Source organism: Homo sapiens, chromosome 11 (genome assembly GCF_000001405.40).
Source record: "Homo sapiens chromosome 11, GRCh38.p14 Primary Assembly".
Classification (NCBI taxonomy): Eukaryota; Metazoa; Chordata; class Mammalia; order Primates; family Hominidae; genus Homo; species Homo sapiens.
In genome coordinates, this window is record NC_000011.10 from 99414993 (window position 1) to 99439354 (window position 24362).

At 36.0% G+C, this 24362-nt stretch overlaps 1 protein-coding gene across 11 annotated transcripts in view, besides 2 other annotated features; it reads left to right on the top strand.

The window, feature by feature from the left end:
* The window catches only part of CNTN5 (contactin 5), a 1337937-nt gene that overhangs the window by 394044 nt on the left and 919531 nt on the right, over positions 1–24362 (top strand). The gene's annotated exons all lie outside the window — the stretch shown is intronic.
* Positions 3998–4683: an enhancer, noted in NCBI's record as "NANOG hESC enhancer chr11:99289721-99290406 (GRCh37/hg19 assembly coordinates)". NCBI's record gives its function as "activates a minimal SCP1, AML or CMV promoter by ChIP-STARR-seq in primed H9 embryonic stem cells {active_cell/tissue: H9 hESC(primed)}" and the evidence as "EXISTENCE:reporter gene assay evidence [ECO:0000049][PMID:30033119]".
* Positions 8091–9066: an enhancer, noted in NCBI's record as "OCT4-NANOG-H3K4me1 hESC enhancer chr11:99293814-99294789 (GRCh37/hg19 assembly coordinates)". NCBI's record gives its function as "activates a minimal SCP1, AML or CMV promoter by ChIP-STARR-seq in naive H9 embryonic stem cells {active_cell/tissue: H9 hESC(naive)}" and the evidence as "EXISTENCE:reporter gene assay evidence [ECO:0000049][PMID:30033119]".

Here is a 24362-nt window from a genome sequence, read left to right on the forward strand (position 1 = left end):
AGGCAACTCAATATTGTAATTCTTGAAGTATTTGTTCTCATGGATTATTTCAACAAGGCATGCTAAAACACACTCTTTGGAATTATAGGCGTGAAAATGTGTGATATCTTTTCTTACCCATCATCCATCATAAGGGTCGTGGTGAGCATTCCTATAAACAAAAAGGAGGTTAACAGGAGCAAAGCACAACAGATTTATTTAATCAAAGTTTTACACAACACGTTGAACCTTCAGATTGAATAACCTAAAGGTACATGGGAAGCCATCTGATTTTCTTCTGAGGTTTAATGAAGCAGGGACAGTGAGTAGAAATGTGACTGGATAAAAAAAAAATGTGTGATCTAATAGTAGTCTAATAGTGTGAGGAAGAAAACCCAGCAAGGCTTGTCTGTTCAGCTTCTTCTTGGCCTCTCTGTGAGGCATTCTCTCCTTCCTTCTGGGTATGGGGCAGGGCCTCTCTGGAATGTGGGTCTTATAACCTATACCAGGTAAATCAGAAAATTTATTTATGGCCAGCTGTTATGCAGAAAAGAGGGGGAAAGTTAAAGTAATACTTTCAGGTTTTATGGCTGTCTTTGACGAAAGGGAGTTCTGGTTTCTATGACTCACATTGTGGGTGGGGGATTCTAGTTGTTTCTATGGCTAGCCTCTGGAGAAACTGAGGGGAGAGCAGGAGAGTGTCAAAGATAAACTTTGCTTCTGAGGCCTTCACTTTGTGATATCATTTTCTGGGCCCCAATAAGACCTAGCACCACCAAAATGTGAACTAATTAACAGATAGTCGTGCAATCATTCCTTTCCATTAACGTAACTTGCATAGCTCTTCAACACTTTAGAATGGTAGAGGGGGCATCAATATTATGAAGAAGGAAATTGAGTTCCACAGAAGTTGAATGATTTAATCCGAACTCAAAGAGTCAATTAATTCTGCTCTTGATTTTTCCAGTGTTTATTTATTTCAAAAACCTAAGTTAAGTTACACAAAACCGAACAATATAAGTAGCCTCAAAATAGTGCACTGTAGTCAGCTTGTACCTGATTTTCCATTTGTATGTGCATTTCTTCCCAACTTCAAGTTCAGTGGCAGCTCACTGGCAGCTTGGAGTTAGCCTTGGTGGGAGTATTTAGACCATGAATATTAGCAAATGCTATATAATTCAGGGTTTTATTTACTTATTTATTGGTGTTTCTTGGACAGCCTAATTACCAGCATACTGGAAATTACAAGTATGCAGGGTATTTTTTCAACATATATTATCTAAACTTTTACATAAAAAAGGAGCATTCTAATGCCTTTTTTTTTGAGACAAGGTTTTGTTCTGTCACCCAGGCTGACTGAGTACAGTGGCTCAATGACAGTTCAGGGGAGCCTCAAACTCCTGGGCTCAAGTAATCCTCCTGCCATAGCCTCCCCAGTAGCTAGGACTACAGGCAAGCATCACCATGCCTGGCTAATTTATTTTTATTTTCATGTTGGTGAGATGGGTTCTCAGTATGTTACCCAGGCTGGTCTCAAATTCCTGGCTTCAAGCAAACCTCCTGCTTAATCTCCCAAACTGCTGAGATTACAAGCATAAGCCATCATGCCCAGTCTCTAATACTACTGTCACAGGTGCAAGTATCTGGGGCCGGTGTCATGGGTGGTAAAGGAATTTACCAAGACAGTTGTAGGTAAAGAAAGATAGATTACAGGGAAAGTACATTGCAAGGTAGCAACGGGCATCATAACAGAGAAGGGGCTGTCTGCAAGGAGGCAGAGGCTGGAGGGAAGTTTTATAGGGTTGTGCTGGAAGGGGCTATGTGCAAAACAAGGTATTTGGGAAGGGGAGATTATGCCAGTGAATTGTTTGTAAATAGCTGTGTCTTAGAACAATTGTTCTCTCCCACTTGGGAGCTCTTCCTTGTTGTTACTTACTCATATCAGGACTCCACAACTACTTCTACTTTGCACTTGTACATTTTACTGAAAGTATCTGCTTATGAGGCTTTAAACTCCAAGAGGCAGAGACTGACCTATTTTTCTGTGTATCCAAACTAGAATTGAACAACAAACGCAAATTGACTTTAAAATCAATGACCTTCACAGATAAAGTGTCAATGAATTATTTTTTAAAATTAATTTTTAAATTACTGTTCAATCAAGTTAAAAAAACCCAACTTGGTCTAACTTGTCAAATAGCAGCGTGAATACATTTTATATCTTTCTATTATTTTTCAATAAGTTATTTTTATATTAGGTAGTCTTGGTCCAATATTAGTGTGATAATATGTAGATTAAACACACTCATTGGTTTGACAGGCAAAGCTTGATTTGTCAAAAATACACGGATTATTAAAACACATTTTTAATTAGACAGTGGTTATCTCAGGGAAGAAATTGCTAAGTATAAAATAATGACATAAGTGAATATGTTAATCTACACTTAGTATACAACAAAACACTATTCACAATGTACCGTCAACTTGGTGTGAATGTTAAGTTTTTGCTAGAAATGCACAAAAGATGTTTCATTAAGAGTTTGATTTCACTTTATTTGTAAATGTGTCTTAATAGACTTTATTATAGCCATTGTGTTGAGTTGAAGTGCTCAATTATTCCTACTATTTTATGTTAAATTGTACTATTATCTAGGAAAATAAAAGGCTGAGTTGAAGAATCTAATGCTTATTCAATTGTAAGTATTGTCCCATGAAAGCAGAGACTCTTCATTTCCATTCTTTTGTAAATTCATGGTGTCACAAGTAGGATTTTTATTTATTACTTTTAATCTTCAATAAACACAAATTATAAATCACATTCTTTGGATACTAAAACCATTACTAGCTATTGTTAGACTTAATAGACTTTATTGTCCCCATTTTGGTGAGTTGAAGCATTCAGTTGAGTGCAATGAGATGTATTCAATTGTGGTAACATTAGAAAAGTTTCATGTTTAAACGGTGATCTCTGAGAAGTTACTCTTGTAAATTTAAGTTATGCTGACTTGGACAACTCTTTTCAGATTTATGAATATATAGCCTTGGTCACAGAAGTAATTTAAACTGCTCAAGGTTTTTAAAGTATCTAATGCACTTCTCTTTTATTTCTGCTGGTTACAATACTGCTAGAAAAGTCAGCCTTGCTAAGGTTAATCCAAGATTACACTTGCAATTTCTGTGTAACTTCAATCAAAATAGTAGAGAAGAATATTGGGATAATTTCATGACTACATTGCTAAAAATAAATTACTTCTAGTTTTTAAATGGAAAAACAAAAAAATTTAAAGAACCAACATGAAAACAACAACTTTAAAAAAAAGGTATGAGTTATTCTTACTCTATGTGGAAAATAAATTATGTGAATAATTTTTGCTTGTTTTGGCACATTTCTTTAACTAGATCCATAGGCAAGAAAAGACAGTAAAACTCAAGTTGACATCAAGCCATTAAAGACCTGGAAAGAAGAGGGTGTTAAAAGCGCTCAAGTTCAGATAACATGTCCAAAGGGATAATTGATGCTGCAAATTTTTAATTGGATTTAATTGGATCCAAGAACATTTAATTGGATTATTTGATCTTTAGCTAAAATTACTTTTCTTTTTGGAAGTTTTCGGTACAGACAATGATTTCTGATTATTGAGACTAACCTGATGCACTTCATTTTGGAAACCATTTCAACTGTCATTAAAAAGACTTGTTTGGGGTTTCTTTCTTCCCATGGCTCTAATGTAATTGACAAGTGCCTTTTCAGTAAATTACACTCATTACCTGTTCTACTTACTCTTGCTAGTTATTTTTCTTAAGTATCTGTCGAATCATGTCGTGATCCTGAATTAAACTCCTCATGATGCCTCCAAATAAAGTCCATGTCCTACTTTATGTCATACAAGCCTTTTAATCATTCTAAAGTTACCTGTGTGAATTGTGGAAAAGTTCAAGCTTTGGAGACAGATGAATTGTATGGGATAACATATGCTTTGCCACTTAGCTAGCTATGGCAGTTTGCTATGCCTTCTAATACTCAGTGTCCTCAACTATAAAATGGGAGGATTATGCATGATAAGGAATGTCAAGTTTCTACATAATACAGTGCCTGCCACTAAGCAAGTGCCAAAGTAAACAAACAGCAAAGTTTATGACCACTTCCCCATATTCTAATTCTTAGAAAATGTCATCAACTATGCAGAGGGCAGAGATCTTGCCACCATCATCACCTACCTGAGCACAACAGCACTGCACAGCCTCAGGGATGGTATTCAAACTGCAGTCAATGTGAATTGCACCCTCTGGAGATGTAAATAGACCAGTCACTGTATGTGATGACTTTACTCATTTTCTAGAGCTTGGGATATGCTTGTCGGTTTGTTGAATGGATAATGAAACTAAGTGAATTTCTAAGAAGTTGAGAGGTTTGTTTTATATTAAAAAAAATTTGTCTTACAAATTATTGTAATTATTTATTTCTGGGTTAAGTGGTTGCTTCTGTTTTAATCCTCTAACAAGCTGAATGAATGTTGAAACCATGCTGTGCCAAGAAGGGCTAATTGGTTGTTTTAGCTTATTAGGGCTGGAAGTGTTAAAAACAGAGCCTGACAGCAATGAAATTAGTGACAATACTAAGCCAGAGTTATATGGACTGTAGCTAATGAAGGGCATGTATCATTCCCAATTTTTAAATAGTATCTTTTACTTACAGTAGATTGAGTTGTTCAGTAGGGCTGGAGTGGGGGGAGGGGTGTGGCTGGAGAAAGTTATGTAAATTTCTGATGAAATACAAATTGGCAGTGGATTGGCAATATTTGTTTCACAGTCTTTCTATTGTGGTATTTTCTTACAAATTATTGTTATTGTTATATCCCAATTAATGACTTCTCCCTGTAACTCAACAGAGGTCTTTTAATTAATTTCATTAATTCAAAAAATGTTCAGCAAACACCATGTATCTAGCATGGTGGTCTTCACCAAATGTATGATAGTGAAAAAAAGGAGTCTCCGTCTGCAAGGCATTCAGTTTAAGGAAGGAGACAGAAAATTAAATAAAGTAGGAGAAGTGCTATAGTCAAGGTAAATCCAAGGTGCTGGGGAAACAGACATGTCTAGTGTTAAAAAATTGTTAGAGGTGATTTAGTGCAGCCCTCTATTTACTTATAAATTCCCCGGATACAAGGCTGCAGAACCGTGACTCCATTGACTGGTACGGTGGTTTGGTTCAAATGCTCTTTTTGGTGAAACTTGAACAATTAGTCATCTGGTCTCCTTTGACAGAAAGGAAATTACTTCAAAGAAAAGTATTTTGAAAAAACGTAAGTCAAAAAAAATCTGGGAAAAAGGTTATCCCCAAAATGATGTATCAACTGCATGTCATAATTTAGATAAATATTAATTTTCATGCAGTGTGCATGCAAGCCCTGGGATTTTAGAAATTTTAGCTTAAAGTGAAAAACAAGATATTTCAGTGTTAATGGTAGCACATAATAAGAATTTTCATACATAATGTCACACTCAAAAAATTTTTTAAAAACCTCTAGTGTTGTCATAAAAAGAGCAAGCTTCTACAGCTCAAATTCTGGCCATTTCAGAACTTGAACAACATGTAGAGCCTTCCTAATTGTCAGAATCCTAGTCTGAAAAGGGCCATGATAATGCTTACATAATTGAGTTGTGGAAAGGATTAAATAAGATTACGATGAAAAAGTACCTTGTTGAATGCCTGATAAATTGAAAGCAGTCAATCAAAGGCAGCTGAAAAGAAATGGCTGCTTCACTGGTTAACTGTCAGGTCTTGTGGTTACATAAGAAAATATGGGCAAGATAGACATTTTCTCTCTTGGGTTGAAATAAAATTTTGATATATTTCCTATTTCCTACTTGAATTTTACTTTCATGAGGACAGAGAACCTGGGAATTCTCAGTATTCCTGCCCTTTGCTGTCCATGTGAAGGCAGCACTGCTCCCAATTGCACTGTTACAGAATCACAGCTTCTCGGAAGCATGGATAGCAGGGCCCTTCTTTCAGGCATCTTCTTCTCATTCTTTCCTAGCTCTCTTCCTTATTGCCTGGAAATTATAATTGTGTCTTTCATCAGAAAGAGCATGCAAAGCTGAATAAGAAGAACTTTTGTTTACACTTAGGGGGAGATCCAAGCTCTGTATTATTCATTGAGGTTTTTTTTTTTTTTCCGCCTAATAAATATTCATAGAGTACCTACTGTGTGCTAGACACTGCTATAAGCTCAGGGGATACATGGGCGGACAACATACCTCAGATTCCTTTACAGAGTTTATGGTATTGTGGAAGAGAGGTGAAACAAACAAATATATAGAAGATAACTTCTACTAGTGAAGAATTTTGACAATAATTCAATGACCAGTGCTCTAATTTCACTCTAAAGAGGCTACCCAGAGAACTGGGAAGAAGAATGGGCTCTGTACATCCTTGTTGTAGAAGGAAGCTATAGGAATAAGAACAGAATTCAGGATTAAAATCATTTGCTCTTCGTCGCTGTTGCAAGCAGCTTTGTTAAAAACTCCCCAATTGAAACTAATTTCATATCAAGAAATTATAGCACCTTTGGATTTTTAATGGGCTTTATGTAGCATGACATTGACTTATGACAATCTTGATGTTTGAAAACAATTTGCCATTTTATGACTTTTTTGCATTTCTGGATGACACCGCATTGCATGTTTCAAAATATTATGAGCTTTATAAATATACATTTAGGGGTAATTTCTGCAATATTTTCTTAGTCCAGTTAAGTTAGATCAGAGTGTTGTTTGCTTTGTAAGTTTAATTTAGAAATTTGAGTAAATGTTTTGGTTTCTCTGAATCCAATTCACTGCCTATTAACTTTGCCTTTGGAAATATGGCTTTTACTAGGAAAAAAAAAATAGCTGTCTTACAAATCTTGCAAATAAATCAAAAACAACTTATCATAGATTTTACATGCATCACAAATTTTCAGAGTCAAATTTTGTGGTAATGTCAACCTGAAAAGAACTGCAGCTGTCTATTCAGGTGTGTTCAATCTCTACTTGATAGGAATAATTACCTTCTACCCTCACTAGGTAATTGCCTTTTGATTGAGGTCATCAGAGCAATCAAGTCAGTGAGAGGCGGAAATCTAGAGTAGGAAAGGAGACAAAGGGAAGAATCATGAACAGAACTTTGAAAGGAGAACAAGAAAGAAGAGGTTTAATTTGTTTTTAACATTTAACTGTTCAGTAATAATTTAAATAGTGGCAGTCATAAAATCATCATAATATGCAACCTGGGTTAATTAGCTTGATATTTTTGTTTTTTGAAGTGAAAAGCTTGATATTTTTGTTTTTTAAGCATTTGATTAGTATCATTACACATTCCTATGAATGACAACTCACTCTCTAATTTAGTCTCCAAATAGTCTTTGCATACACATTATATCAGGGGAATCGTTTAGGTACTGGGACAGGTAGAGGTGGGAACAAAATAAAGAAAATGTATGTCCTAACAGGGTTTACATCCTGATTATTGAAAAACAAAAGCGATTCATGTTACTTTATATTTTTATATATATATATATATATATATATATATATATATATATATATCTGTATTTTAATTATACTTTAAGTTCTAGGGTACATGTGCACAACGTGCAGGTTTGTTACGTATGTAAAACAAAGAGAGTGTAGAAGCAAAGGGAATAGAGAGGGTTTTTTATTAATGAAACAGGGAAGAATAAATATTTGATAAATTGACAGTCTTCTTAAGTGAGACATCCTGGGGATGAGTTTGCAGGAAGACAAAACAGTAGTGTAAAATGTTTGGAATGTTCAAAGAACTTAAAGGAAGCCAGTGTGGCTAAGAGTAGTTTGAACAAGGGGTAAGTTTGAGATTTTTGCAGACTAATAAGTGCATCTTCTAAACTTCCAATTTAAGACTTGCAGATGTTGGGGAAATATAATTAAAAACAAAATCTTCTCCTAACCCAGAAATCCTCTCTACAAAGATAATAGAGGAAGAAAACATTTTCGTTATTGAATAAGCATGTAAATAGAATGTGATGCAATCACAGGAAATACACTAAGAGACTGCAGGTACAGCAAAATACGGCAGAGAGAGAAATCCCACCTTTACGTAGAGCCAAGCAGATACATATCATTACATATGTCTTTTCAAGATGAACAATAAGTAGTCCTAAAGAGGACTTGACAGGACTATTTGTCACATATACTTCATTTTAACTTTACCTGGTGATTGGAGTGACTATCTGTGTTAGCTATGGTCTTTACTCAGAGGAAAAAGCAGCTTCTATCTTTATGACAGGAGTTAGTCTTGCAGTTTGCAGCAAGGTGCCCACTGAAGTGAGGCTTCCACCCTCGAGCAGAAACTGAGAGATAGGAACCTTATTTTCCATGATGTTTACATTTCAAAGAGATGGCTCCTTGGTCGTTGAGAAAGACATTCCTTGGTCATAAAGCTGACAAAAGCTTTATTTAGTTTCTAAAAATATTCATATACATTTCAAAGAAACAGAAAAAGTACTTACATTTTCAGGTTTCTAAGGTAAACTTACTAACAAAATGGGAACGGAGGAAAATCTATTTCCTATTTTCAACAGTGAGAATTAAGCCTCTTATTTTTAATCTGTATTTTTTCTCATTCTAGTAATACCTACATTAGTGCTTCTCAAACTTTAATGTGCATAGGAATTGCTTGGTGATCCATTTAAAATGCAGATTCTGTTTTGATGACTGTGAAGTGAGATCTGAATCTCTGAATTCACAACAGGTTCCCTGGTGATGCCAATGCCATTTGTCCACAGTACAGGCTTTGAGTGACAAGGTTAGATAAGGAGCTGAGAGAGAGGCAGCATAAGACTAGTGATTTCGACTAGGGTGGGTATGGGGTGGGGGAGCGGTGGTGTATGATCAAGTATTATAAGGCCTTGTAGACCATTTAAAGGACGTTTAGGTTTGAATGATATTAAAACCTTAGAGTATAACAGTTCCCTTTTATTTGTGGGTCATAAGTTCCAAGAACCCCATTAGGTGTCTGAAACTTTGGCAAATATCTAACACTGTGGACACAGTAAGTACTGTGTTTTTTCCTATACGTACATACATACATACATATGATACAGCTTAATTTATAAATTAGGCACAGTAAAAGATGTATAACAATAACCTAATAATAAAATAGAACAATTTTAACAATATGGCAACATCAATACTCTTGTACTTTGGTGCCATTATTAAGTATAATAAGGATTACCTGAAGACAAGCACTACAATCTAAACAGTGGGTCTGATAACCAAGACCTCTACAAGTGACTAATGGGTGGGTAGCATAAGTGGAAATGCAGGACAAAGTGTCGTGGGATCTGGGGGTTGTCGCTTTCCCAGCTGGAAACCTCTGTGGCTGGTGGCACCCAGCATGCTGCACTCAGCTCATGCTGCCGGCCTCAACCTCACGCCTGCGAAGGGTGAGCCAGGTGTGGAGCGGCAAGGGGTGTGTAAATGATCACTGGGTCTGGCCACTGAACACAGCCAGGCATGCCAGCTAAGGCAGGCAGGCAGCTCCTGGCACTGGCACAGTCACGAGCTCCATGTGAGGCTGCAGCTGGGCCAGACGTAATGTAAGTGGCATGCACTGTGAGCACTGGGGAACATGGTGGTGCCCACAAGCTTGGAGATGCCAGGAATGGCAGAGCCCCAAAGAGGGTGTCACAGCCCTGGCTCAGGGAGCTCCTATGTCTGGGCTGCCAGAAGGACTGCAGCTCTTCTCTTATTTTCATCGCCCACAACATGGTAAGCAGGGACATGTTTCAGCCCTGTTTGTGTTACAGCTCTTTCAGTCGGGCCATTCAATGGGTCCTGAGTTCTTGTTCTATGTCCAGGAAGAATGAGGTACGTGGACAACTGGAGGGTGAGCAAGGCAGAGAGAAGCGTCACTGAGACAGAACAGCTCAGAGGAAACTCAAAGTGGGTTGCTCCTTTCCACAGGCAGGTTGTCCTGATGAGTGTACAACTCTTAGCAGAGAGGAAACCCATAGTGGGTAGCTCCTTTCTATGGGCAGGTTATCCTGATGAATGTCCAGCTGTCCACATAGAGGAGACCTGTAGCAGGTAGCTCCGTCCCACAGCTGGTAATCCCAATGTCTCTGTGAGTCTGGCTGAGTCTGGGGTTTTTATGAGCTCCTAAGGGAAAAATTGTGTGCTGATTGGTCCATGGGTGGCCATAGGCAGACCTGGAAAAACAACCATCTGATTGGCCAAACAGTCATCAATGAAGTCCTCACTCCAGGCCAGGGACTTCACCCAGAACTGGCAGCCCGGCCCTCAGGCTTCAGGCTGTTTTTGTTTTGGAGGTAGGGTTTCACTGAGGACCCTCCGCTTTCCTTCCAGGAACCTGTCTGTCTCCTGCCATCAACATGCCATCCATGGCGCCAAGGTTGTTCGTGCTGAGAGATGCCTGCAGGCCCAGGCCAAGACACCCACACCACCCCTTGCCTCTCTGCTGTGCTATGTGGTGCCCAAAGTTTGTAGAGGGACAAGGTGGTGGGGTGGGGGTAGGGGGCTGGCATAACAGCACCACCCCAAATGTGTGCACACTCCCTGGTTTGCAACAGTGCACACGCCCAGCCACAACTTTGCTGTGCACTGGAGCAGGTGCCAGGAGCAGAGAAAGAGGCCAGAGAGTGGGAGCAGACACTTAGGAGCTTTCAAGGGCAGGGGTTGCTTCCTGAGCCTCTGAGAATGCAGGGATGCCGAGGTCTGCAGCCATGGCTGGGTGGCTGCAACTGCACCCTGGAGTGTGGGGCTCCTGCCAGCTCAGTAGGGGCATGGTTTCCACCTGTTCCTCACCTCTGCCAGATCCATGGGGCACATAGCCCTGGCTACTCCTCCCCCACTGCAGCCAGTGTCTTCACAGCGCTGCTCCAGAAAGGTCACTGCTGCCATCACAACCATGGTTAGAGATGGAATTGACAAGGAAATTTGGTTATTTATGTGGCAAACAGCAATCTAACATAATTATAATTACTACTGATAACATATACTAAGAAATAACAGAATCACAGGAACCTCATACAATTTTGCAACACATATTAATAGCATATTTATAAAAATATAATCTAAAAAGAATTAAACACCATTTCATATTTGACAATGCTTCCTGTATGATTTTATTATACCAAAAATCTGACTATTTCTCTTTTGGACTTCAGGGGGCCTCATATCAAAAAAATTGATGAAGTCAAAAAGACTGAATTTACAATTTGGTTTTTGCCAGTTTGCCAAATAACAGAGGTTTAAAACACTTGATATCACAAAATAGGATCACAGGTAACTGTAAAATAAGTCATTCATTTATCCAAAGTGGTAATACAAATATTTCCAAAAAAAGGGCAAAAACTCTGACTCTTTTAGAAAGGAGACTCACTTTCATAAACAATGAGACCTAATAAAGACATCATGAGGCCAGCTAAATATGTTTCTCAATTCTTATAAACAAATCTATTAAATTTTAATCATCTTGACCATAAGACAGAATTTTCGTAAGCCTTTTTATAATCTTTTACAATTTTTTTAATTAAAGAGTGGTTAAAGCTGCCAGAAAACTTCGTTAATCTGACACACTGGCACAAATGCTGGTCTTGTATCAGTGCCTTTGATATGAATGTTTAATTTATCGAAAAATACTGAACTAATTTTCTCTGAAAATTAGCCCTTACAGTCTCCTGCGTCCACGTCTTCCATGTTAGTCCTTGGGCCTGGAGGATTTGAATAGTTCTAATTTGTGGCCTTGTATCTCATGAATGCAAATTATTTTGATTGTCATATTCTACCAGGTCTGAAGATAAGGCTACTGTAAGTGTTTATGATTTAGAAGGAGTTGGTGTCCTTTTTAGACTCAGGAATCATAGCCCTGTAACTTAACAGTACAGGGACTCTAAAAGCAATACAGAAAATTACATGGATATAATAATCTTGTATTTTTAAATCTCAGTTTTACTAAGCAAATCAGAAACTTAATAACAATGGCATAGAAATTATTTCGATAAAACATAAAATCTGTTTCTTAGGCCAGTTACCGAAAGGCAGAAAAACAAAAACAAAAACCTTCTGCAGTGAGGTTGCTTTCCTCTGTTAGGGGTCCATTTACATAACCTGCAAGTCAAAACTATTGAAAAGAGTACATGAATTATTTAATCAGACATAGGAAAAGTGTGTCCTGAATCGTAAGTGAAGGTTTTCAGTTTCATAGAACAATTTAGATATATTAAGAAAAGCCAAGAGTACAGAATGTTACATCAGAAGAAAACATTTTCTTTAGATCTTGAAGATAAAATATTTTTAGCATTAGGCCACAACAACAGTTAGAACCTGAGGGGGGAAATAATTACAAAAACTGATGAAAAACTTGAAGGAAAGAGTTATTATCTCAGGCCTTCTCAAAGGGGAGAGAAAGCCGGAAACAGCAAGACATAATAGAAGTTAAGCTTTTGGATTAAAAGTGAAAATTTCTTGGGCCTGGCGCGGTGGCTCACGCCTGTTATCCCAGCACTTTGGGAGGCCGAGGCGGGCGGATCATGAGGTCAGGAGATTGAGACCATCTTGGCTAACACGGTAAAACCCTGTCTCTACTAAAAATACAAAAAATTAGCTGGGCATGGTGGCACACACCTGTAGTCCCAGGTACTTGGGAGGCTGAGGAAGGAGAATCACTTGAACCCGGGAGGCAGAAGTTGCAGTGAGATGAGATCCTGTCACTGCACTCCAGCCTGGGTGACACAGCAAGACTCAGTCTCAAAAAAAAAAAAAAAAAAAAAAAAAAAGTTAAAATTTCTTATAATTCTATTAAGAACAAATGAATACTTTAAGGAAATTTTGGTTTTTTAAACAATTATTTTGTGTATCAGTGTATTTTTAATATCAAACCCAATCTCTAGAAAGACTATTATTAATAATTTCCTTTTAATTTTAGCCAACTTAATCACGTAAAACTTTTCCATACATTTTCTTTTTACAAACCTTATTAAGACTTATAGAAATTTGTGAGATGCTTAGACTTCCTCTTTTAGCCTAATTATTCCTCTTTCTTAAATAAACAGTCATTTTATTTCAGGCCAATAATTTACTGTACAAAATTTGTTCTCATAGAAAATTATTTTCCTTTTAACTTACCAAAATTACCTCTTTATAACTTTCTTTACAACTGCCTTATTTACTACTTCCTTTTACCTTGTTTTATAAACAACCTTTGAATTAAACAAAAATTATTTTTCTTTTAATAACTTTTTTAAGAAAAAAAAGGCTTTACAGCTGAATACAGTGGCTCACGTTTTTAATCCCAGCACTTCGGAGGGCCAAGGTGGGTGGATCACTTGAGCTCAGGAGTTGAAGACCAGCCCGGGCAATATGGTGAAACCTCATCTCTACAAAAACATACAAAAATTAGCTGGGCTTCGTGGCATGTCCCTGTAGTCCCACCTATTTGGGAGGTTAAGGTGAGAGATCTCTTGAACTTGGGAGGAGGAGGCTTTGGTGAGCCAAGATTGTGTCACTCCCCTCCAGCCTGGACAAGAGAGTGAGACCCTGTCTCAAAAAAAAAAAAAAAAAAGGAAAAAAAAGATGTTTCTTTAATATATGTATATATCTTTAATTGAAAATAACCCAGATATTTAATGAATATCTATTATCTAACATAATATAACTTCAAGATTCTAAATTATATGTTTATGTATAAGCATTTATTCCATTACATTTCCCTAATTTACTATTTTTAATAGTTTATTTAGATTACTTAGAAAAACTGCAGTATTAGACAAAGCTAGTCATCATTTAAAGTTATTTTCCTGTTAACAATTGTTTTTAGCCTGTGAATGTCTAGTTGTTTATCTAAACAAGAACTTTAAGGTTCAATAAATCAGTTTTTTGCCAATAACCCAGGATTTAGCAATTTTCATTAAATCAGTAATACAAAATGCCTTATTTATAAAAAAATTACACAAAGATAATTCTGTTTTGAGCTGCATTTATAGCATTAAAATCTTCATGCCAAATTTTGACAGCTTATAATATCTAGCAGATATAATTATAAAACCTCTGGAAAAATAAATCTAATGTATAATAATGTATGTGTATAATTCTGAGGACATTTCTAATTTTATTTTACCAATAATTCTAAAGCCACCTTATTTATTAAAGATTTGCTTAAGTCATGTGAACTTGAAAAAGCATTTGGGCTTAAAGTTTTTTTTCTGATATAGTATTTAAGTGCTTTTTTATTTAAGCCAATTAATTAGAGCTCTTTTATATATTTTTGATAGTGAGACATTATATATATGACACATAAATACATACAGGTATAGACACATAGACAGAAGTAGATCTGATAGACTCATAAGACTTTTATTCCACCCCTACTTTAAACTTCACTTTTCTTGATAATCTACTTCATTACCCTAGGCAATTGTCAGAGAGCCCTAAATTTGCATACTAAAGGAACAATTCTTAGGTGAAAATCAGATAGCAAAATACACATCTCAAAGGACAGCAAAAGGGAGAGAGAGAGAGTCTGAGTGTGTTAGAGGAAGGTTAAAAATGGATACCATGCCAAACATTAAATTGTAGAAATCTACCGTACCATAGGATTTTTTTTAAGGAGTACAATTTTACTTATAAAGGCAGTTTTAAATTTAGGCTCTATCTTTTAACTGGACCTCTGAGCACGGGGCAGAGTCTACACTTAATCCTGGTTCTCCAAAAAGGAGAGATCATGGGAATAGGCCATATAATATTTTTACAGTACACTTTGTTACTAAGGCATTTCTCTAAGTGTTTAAACTGTACCCTTTCTTATTTTAAACACACTGAGAGTAGCCCCCGCCCCCATAGTAACAACTATTTACTGTAAGCAGCTGCCATTTAGCCATCTCTAAAAGCATATTACCTAGCTGTCACACAGACCATGGTAAAAAAAAAAGTTATCATCATGCAAAATAATATTTGATACCCTCAAAAGCTAAGAATATCAAGTAACTAAATGCAAGGAAGCTGAGCTTTAGACCTGAGAAGAATTCACCAATGACTCTTGAAACTCCACAGAGAAAGCAGAAGACCTCAAAAGAGGGGTGTGTGGCACCTTTATGCTGTGACTTTTAAGGGGTGTGAGTTATTAGACTCCTTCTCAAGATGTTTTTTCACTTGATACCAAAGATGGTAAAGGGGAAAGGAGGAATAGGGTAGAAGAAAAGTAAATTAAATAATGATTTTTAAGAAAGAAATGGAACAGAGAAATTAAGCACGTGTTTTCTTTTTTGTTTAAAAAAACGAAAGGTTTCAGTAAACTAAAAAAAATTCCGAAAAGCAAGATCCGAAAAGAGAAGTGTAAAATCATATATATATATATGTGTGCACGCATGTGTGTATATACATATACATATACACATATATAAAGGCATTATATACATAAGAACTTTAAATATATTTATAAGGCCTTTATATATATATAAGAGATTTATATATATTTATATATTTATAGCTCTCTTTTCTCTCTCTATATATATATAGCTTGAATACCACCTTTTAATTAAGCTGATTTTAACCATGGGCCTCCTAATGTATACTATATATGTATATACAGACACACACATATGTATATACACACATGGAGAGAGAGCAAGAGAGAGGGTAGCTATCTATATAGAGAGAAAGAGCTTGGATATCAGCTTTTAATTAAGCTGATTTTAACCATAGGCCTCCAAAACAAAAGGTTGGGGGGGCGGGGAGAAAAAGACAAGGAAGAAAGAAAAATAAAAGAAATCCCTTCAAATCTCCTACTACATAAATATCAAACCAAACCCAGGCTGCCTTAGTGAAAAGGGCAGAATCTTATCTACCGAACTACGGTGTGAGGTGGCTGTCATTGCTGTTTCTGGAAGAAAAACTGGAGGTAGCTTGGTTAGTAAAAGGTGGCCTTGCTGTAGATGAAACCCATCAAGTAGCCAAAAAAAAATTTTTGGATCCTTTTTCCTGGCTGTTTTTTTTTTTTTTTCCTCTCATTTCTTTTTGCAACTGCAGAGTATTTCAGCAATTTTAAAAGGCCTTGTTAGGCATAACTCGGAACTCTCATTCGGATTTGACCAAGTCAGGTAGAGTTGGTCAAATCTGATGGGAGAAAGACTGAAACAGCAACAACAACAATGAAAATACAGTTATTTAGAGCTCTGATGGTAAGGAGAAATTAAGACCAGCTTGTTGTCAGTCTTTACTTTTAGTCATTAAGGAAAACTTTCCAAGACAAAACTCCAAATTCATGTACTTAATATAGAAACGGGGCCCAGACTGAAGACTGCTTTCTACCAACATAGAAGGAGGAAAAAGCTCATACTTACCCTCCCTGTTGAAAGCCAGCTGAAACTCCGGAAAGGAGCTGCTAGCCATCCACCATCCTGGAAGCAGGAAAACTCACTTTTTTAATGGAAATGAGTAAAATTCTAGAAAAGGAATTGTACATCAAAATAAACCTTAGATCTCAATGAAATTTGGGGAGATCAGGAATTCCTTGGAGGGGGGAAACTCCCAGATCTCAGCAAATTGTCATGTTGGTTTGGGCATTGTAGATAGCCCAGGCTAGTACTAAGAACCAATAGGAGTTTTGTCATGGGTCAGGGTCATCTCCAGTCAGAGTCCCTTCCATTGGTCACCAATTGGTAAAAACAAAAAGTATCTGAGACAGGAGGTCTTAATCAATTTGAAGTTTATTTTGCCAGCGTTAATGACATGCCTAAAAAAAGGAACAGCAATCCACAGGAACAATCTGTGATCCATGCCTTTTTCCAAAGATAATTTTGAGGACTTGAGTATTTAAAGCAGAAACGGGCTGGAGGGTCAAGAGGGAGGGCATGGTCACTTTACTCAATCCACATGTGAGGACTTGAGTATTTAAAGCAGAAACAGGGGCTGGAGGGTCAAGAGGGAGGGTATGGTCACAATACTCAGTCCACATGTTTCAAGACGAAAGGAGCAGGTGGGGGGATAGTCAAATATGTATTCCTCTCCAGTAAGTCCGCACTTTAGGTGAGAGTAGCTGCCTTTGGAGATATTCTAGCTCTTAATCTGCAACTATTTGCTTAGGAATAAAAGGGAAGGCAGTTTTTTGCATGACTCAGCTTTCAGCTTAATATATCCCTTTTGTGATACTCAATTGCGGGCCTAAGATTTTATTTTCTTTTCACAACCACCATGTTTTGGGTCTCAGAAACTGAAAACTACATGTGTCATTCACTTACATGAGAAAAACAGAGGGCAGGGGCAAATTTGGAGGAGACAATTAAGAGATATAAATTGAGGTTATAGGATTTGGGATTTCTATTTTGTTTCCAGATACCGTCAACTGCACAGATACAAAAAAAGTAACTACGTAGAAGATTTAACCAGAGTTGGGGCTCTGTTTCTTTCTTTTCTTTTCCTTTTCTTTCCTTTTCTTTTCTTTTCTTTTCTTTCCTTTTCTTTTCTTTTCTTTTCTTTTCTTTTCTTTCTTTTCTTTCTCTCTCTCTGTCTTTGTTTCTTTTTTAGGGGCGAATGGGGTAGTATATTGAGAACATGTCAGGAAGTGTTTATACAAACAGTCATAATATCTCTCTTGGGTGAGGAAAGAGTGAGAGCAGTTCAGGGCAAGTGAGAGCGAAAAGCTGCTAGGGTCTATATAGTAAAAGTCTTTGCTGGAATGAAGATATTAGAATGAGTGAGCCAGAAAATAGAAGATGAAATTGGAGAGATGTGTCTGTAAAATTACTGTAATGAAAGGGATGAGATTGTGGGTGATGCCATGATGCTATATATATGGAGTGGCTGGCGGAAGTATGATGGGTGGCTGAATTATTAGCGTGAAGGCTGTTATGGAACTGAGATGCAAGAGTACTAGAATGTTCACCACATTGAAACTGATACCACCAAGAAAGTACACACTGTGAGAGGAAGGAGGCAGTAGCTAGATGGTAAATACTGAAAGAATGAGCGTTGTGACTCCATGAATATAAATGATTACCAGGAAAAAAAAAAAAAAAGGTTTAGTGGACTGTGTAGATTGATGGCCTAACCTTCAAAGCTGGAACTTTTCAGAGGATGGAAATCTGAAATTTTGAAAGCAGCCTGAGGAACAAAGAGGACATTTACCTCACTTCCCAGCCCAGTGCTCTGAATTGTGCTGTAGAGAAAACATGACTGCTTGAGAGTACAGCAGAGAAAGCAAGGTCCTCTGGGGAGAACCCAATCTTGTTTAGAAGAAGGGAAGGTTTAGAAAAGATGTTGAAAATATAAGTAATTTTGCTACTGACTGACTGATTTCAGAGAGAACAGAGAAAAAACTGTAATCATAATTTTCCTTGTAGTTTATCTGGTAAAAAAAAAATGTGTGTGTGTGTGTGTGTGTGTGTGTGTGTCTTTGTGTGTGTGTGTGTGTCTATGTTATAGTTAAACTTTTAGGTTTTATTTTTATGATAAACATATCAGTTACTGTAAATCAAAATTTGTTCACATTTCTAGTAAGGTGCCTAGTATTAAAGATATTTATTATTTTCTTTTAATTCATGAAGGGTATCCTTGTGTTTATTTCTAATCTTCTCTGATAGGTATTCAGTTAAAGTATTGCCGAATACATCAAGCTTTGACCTTCAATGAATACCATTATGAAACAGAGTGATTCAATAATATTCAAGACATTGAGAAGACACTTTTCTAACTTGTACAATTCTTAAGATCAGAAAATAGTGTGAAGTCAATTCAATCAATACAGGATAGTTGATGAAGCTAAAAGATGTTATTTATTAAATGTAAATCTCTTGAAAGTTTTTTAAAGAGGGAATCAAAATTTAAACAGTGATTATAAATCCCTCTACGTTTGATGACACAGGGATACAGCTGCTTTCCTAGTCACCTAAGGCAGGTGGTGCTTTACTGTGTTTTACAGAGCTAAAAGAAATGAACATTTTTCTTTGAGAAAGCGGAAAAGCAGATCAGAAAAAGACTTGTCAGAAGATACAGTGATTATTACTACTGTTTCTTATATATTCAGGGACACTGTGCTCAGTGCCATACCTACAATGAAGATCACAGTTCCAGGCCCCAATATAATCTTCGGCTGAAAAACAGGTGGTCTAATTTGTTTTATTATTTAATTATCTCATTAAAGAAAGAAGCAAGATTAAGACTATGTGATGTATTATTTGGCACCACAGCCTTAATTTCCTCTTCAATATTGTGGAAAAATATATTTTGATGCAATTTCCATGTCATGCAGCATGTTTCTGAAAAAACAGTAGATAATATACATTCTTTTGGAAATATTTTGCCATTTCTAAAATGATGTATGAAAATTAGCAATATTCCATGCTTGAGTTAGCAGAGAAAATTGACTGACTTGAGATTCGGAGGTTTTTGTTTTATGAAACAATGTACAACATTATATTATATATTGTAGGTAAAGCTAAATCATTTAAATAATTTCCTCTAGTTCCATGCAACAGCAAGTAAGATGCATAGCTTTTAATTTTCTTTGCTATGCCCAGAAGTCTTTACCATAATCCAATTTTCTCACAACTTTTGAAGTCTGTGTTAAGCAATAACATACGGCAAGTTTATTCCAACGTAGGACACAGCTTCTCAAATCAGAGCCGTTTTAATAATTATTACCAATAGGAACTTTGAAATCTACTGATAGTAGCTGAAGAGATAAAGTGATTTGTCTTTAACAGATGTGTTTCTTTTAAATTATTCATTTTCAGAAGCATATTTCTGTATAACAGGTGCCCAAAAATTGCTGTGGAAATATGAATATATTTAGAAGACTCCTATTTATGCTAGGCATGTTGTTTTGACAATTCAAGAGAAATTTCTGAATTAAAATGAACATCATACTTCTCAATTTCTCAGAAAAGGTAGTAATCAAGAGTATTTGGTACGTATGATTTAAGATTTAATCTTGCATCCAATTTTAGGATCAAATTTTGTTAATATATTTCTCAGCAAAGAGTATAATCATCAACCATTTAGTCAAAACACTTGAGGATGATGTGACTTAAGTCTAGATAAATGTATTGATATATAATTCTCATATCAGTCTTTTAGTATCAATGCCATTTTTAAAGTGTGAAATAATGCTCCTGAAATGTAATATCACAACATGATATTGGGAGGACAAATATATTCTTCTTTTCATTATATAAAGGGCAATTTGACAATTCTCCTGTCAAATTGTCATCTTTTTGTAGATGAGAAGTACATTTTTCAAGACATCATACTTATGCCATCTTAAGAAACAATGTCCATATCTTAGTCAATACTTTTTAAAAACAGTTTATTTCTTGCTCAAGAATATTCTGCAGCTGTCCAGGTGACATATCAGCTGTTGCCCATGAGGTGATTCAGGGATTAAGTCTTCTGGAATTTTTTGGCCTTGCTATCTCAACAGGGGTTCTACACACTAGCAGTGACAGGGAGAGCTCACACTGAAACTCACACCTACTCCCTCTCTGCTGTAGACAGAAATGACATACGTCTTCAGTTCATAATACTCTAACCACATCTGGTTACATGCATCTACTTAACAGCAAATGGGGCTTGAAATGTAGGTGAAAATAGGAAATATTTGGTGAGCATTACTTACTCTGCCAAAGAGGGATACACTAAGTCTTAAATATGCCAAATAACTTGTTTATAGGGTACAACTAAAAATATCCAGTACTTGATATTGGGACTAGTTCTGTCTATAACCAAACCTACACTATTTCTTGCATAGTGACCTACCATCATTTATTGGAGAATCGTATACATAGACAAGCTTCAATTAGGTTGTCATTTATTCTCATATTTGTGGCATGGCCATGTAGGCCATGAAATTATATATGAGGAAGTATATGGGGAAGATGGTAACAAATTGTAGTTCTGGTCTGTAACAGATATATTCAGAATTACAGTGCAAGGTTTTATAATTATTTTAAAAAGGTCGTATTCAACTTTGAAATGACTCATAATTTTATCAAATTTTCATAGACATTTCAAGGTTGAAATGTTCTCTAAGTTCATGCAGTACTACTAATGCATGATCTCATATTACAACGCTACCAAAGATCTTAAATGTTCTAAAGGAGTAAAAGCAGATCATGATCATTTGGAGTGAGAGACACCTGATTTGAATTCCAATTGACTGTAGTGGTGGCAGTGATGTCAATTACTACATATTGAGTGCTGTCTTGGGCACTGTCATTAGCACGTTACAAACGTTATTTTAATTACTCCTATGGAGAATCCTATGAGATAGAATTTCATAGGATGCCACCATAATTCTCTCCATTTCACATATGAATAAATGGAGGATCAGAGAGATTAAATCATTTATGCTCAGATCCACAATGAGACTACTGTGCATCATGTTATCGTCTCTAACTCTGCTTTATTGTCCTAACCACTACATAGCTTCCTTACATCTTTCACAGCATACGTTTGAATCTTACTCACTTTATATTTGTTTAGGATGTTCTGTTTAAGGTACAGTTTCCCCATCTTGTATCTATTCTTTCAAAGTAATTGGTGTTCATCTCAAGATCGTGTTTATGACGGACAGACATCATCTTGTTAGATTTAGCTCATCTGATAGGTAAATCCAAAAAACTTTACTATCACCTCCAGATTACTTCTGACAATATGCCCCTTTCATATCTAATGAGGACAATAATAATATGTTACATTTACAAAATACTCAAAAATTCAACATTTTATTATCTCCTCACAATAATTCTCATAGCGGTTCCTTTGATGTCCACACTATTTTCTTTGCCATTTAACTAGTCATTCTTTCTTGATCATAAGATCTCCTTCATACACTCAACATCGAGATATTTGAGTACCTGAAAGCTTCATCCTGGTTCCCTTTCATCTTTATTTATAATAACCTCTCCCTAAAAGGTTTTCTCTACCTTCATGATGTTAATTCTGTTGATAAGCTGAACACTTCCAAATTTGCATCTTTAGCACTGGTCTTTTCAGTGAACTCCAACTGTCTATGTCCAGCTTCTTACTCAGCCTAATAGGCATCTCACGTATAAATGTTCAAAAGTGAGCCCTGATTTCCACCTCCAAAGGTTTCACCAAATCTCAAAGTAAAGAATTGAAAATGAAATTTGTAAAATGTTATGTAGGCCCAGAGACCTAGTACTTTACGTGGCAAAGAGCGGTCGCTTACACCATGCCAGATGTATTGAGATGATCTTCAATTATAAAAATACCTGATGTTATGTTAAAGTCACACAACTAGGAATGGCTACTGGTATGAGAATTAAAAGTGGTTTTGCCGCTTTATGTTTCTAAGATGCTCCTTTCTTTACGTAATCATCTATAATTTGACTTCATACATTATTATTCTTAATAAATATATATTTTATGATAAAGTTAATTGTAGAGACTAAGAAAGTCTGATTAAAGTATAATTTTAAGGTCAATAGCAGAAAACACTTAAACAATATTTCCCGTTGTATACATCTTTTTCGTTTTTAAGCTAGTCATAAAATATATTAAAAGTGATTAATTTGGGCTGGGTGTTGCGGCTCATGCCTGTAATCCCAGCACTTTGGGAGGCTGAGGCGGGTGGATCACCTGAGGTCAGGAGTTTGAGACCAGCCTGACCAATATGATGAAACCCCATCGCTACTAAAAATACAAAAATTAGCCGGGTGGCATGCGCCTGTAATCCCAGCTACTCAGGAGGCTGAGACAGGAGAATCGCCTGAACCTGAGAGGCAGAGGTTGCAGTGAGCTGAGATCGCACACTTGCAATCCAGCCTGGGCAAAAAAGCGAAACAACATCTCAAAACAAACAAACAAACAAAAAAAGTAATTAATTTGAAAGGGTAAAAACTCCACAGAAAATAAAACTTCCCAAATTTTCACCACCATAGGGCAATCACCATTACAATGCTAATGTATTTTCCATATATTAAAAATGTTTTCTAGATGAGATTCTGTTCCATGTACAATATGGTATTCTGTTTCTGTCAGTTAGTTAGTATAAGAATGTTTATATATCATTAAATGCTTGTAAACTATCATTTTAGTGCAACATTTAACACATGAGTAAAGGTTTATTCATGCTAGAAGCTTAATAATAAAATAATGAATTATTCTAGATTCCCTTAAGATGTACTTCAACTTTACAAATTCTGATTGAGTCAATAAATACTTAATAAAGCATGATGAAAGTGCCAAATCATAATTTATTTACATGCATATTTCAGGAATCTTTTTTTAAAATAAAGATTTTTGAATAGTAATTTAGAACATTTATTGATGAGTCTACTATAAGGAACTATTCGTCTTATCTCTATTTTACCAGCCAAGATGTTCAAGTGATGACTATATGTCACATATTTCATGTCTTACAGCCAGTAATTGTTGGACAAGAATTGAAACCTGGCAGTCAGACTTCAGAAACTGGTCTCTTACACAATTTTAGGTCACCTAAAAATATCTTTCTGCCTTCTTTATTTTCCTTCATATTCTTATTTTCTCCTATCTCTTTATCTCTTCATATCTCTCTCTCTCTCATACACACACAATATATAACTTTTTCTAATTCATATCATTTATTTAATTTATAAATATATTTATGTTAGCAAAACATAAAAATTATCTAAAGAGGACACTGTATACAGTGATGTGTTTTCCTCCAAAGCTCTAATTTTTCACTCATTGAGGATCCCCCACTCATGTCACAGTTAACTATTCAGTAATGTTTGTGCATCAATCCAGAGTTTTTTTATACATATGTAAGTTCATAAAAATACATATATACCTCTGGCACTGTTTTCCAGCAAATCAACTTTACACATTAAATGGCCTGCTTCAGGACCAAGTTAACTCTCAGCACTTACACACAAAGTCAAAATACAGTGTGCAAGTCTTCGATGATGTTGTGACGCTATAGAACTGGTGATATGTAGTGAACAAAATAAGCAAAATCACACATAAGTTAAATAATTTCTGATTTTAATGAACACTATGAAATAAAAATAGAAGAAAATGGGTTATAAAGTAATATGTGCCATTTATCTTTTCGATAGAGTGACCTAAATGATGAGGATTACACATATAAGCATTTGTATAAAAAATGCCCATGGGAGAGAAATAAGCTCATATTAAAAGGCCAAAGGCAAAAACAAATTCTATGTAATCAAGGAACTTAATGTCCAGTACGGCTATAGCACAGACTGTTGGAGGAGAGCAGAGAAGGAATCAGGAGGCATGTTAATGAGCTAGTTCATTTAGATGTGTAGATCTCTGTGTGTGTGTGTGCGTGTGTGTGTATATATATTTAAGATTTTAGAGAGGAAATATGCACTGTG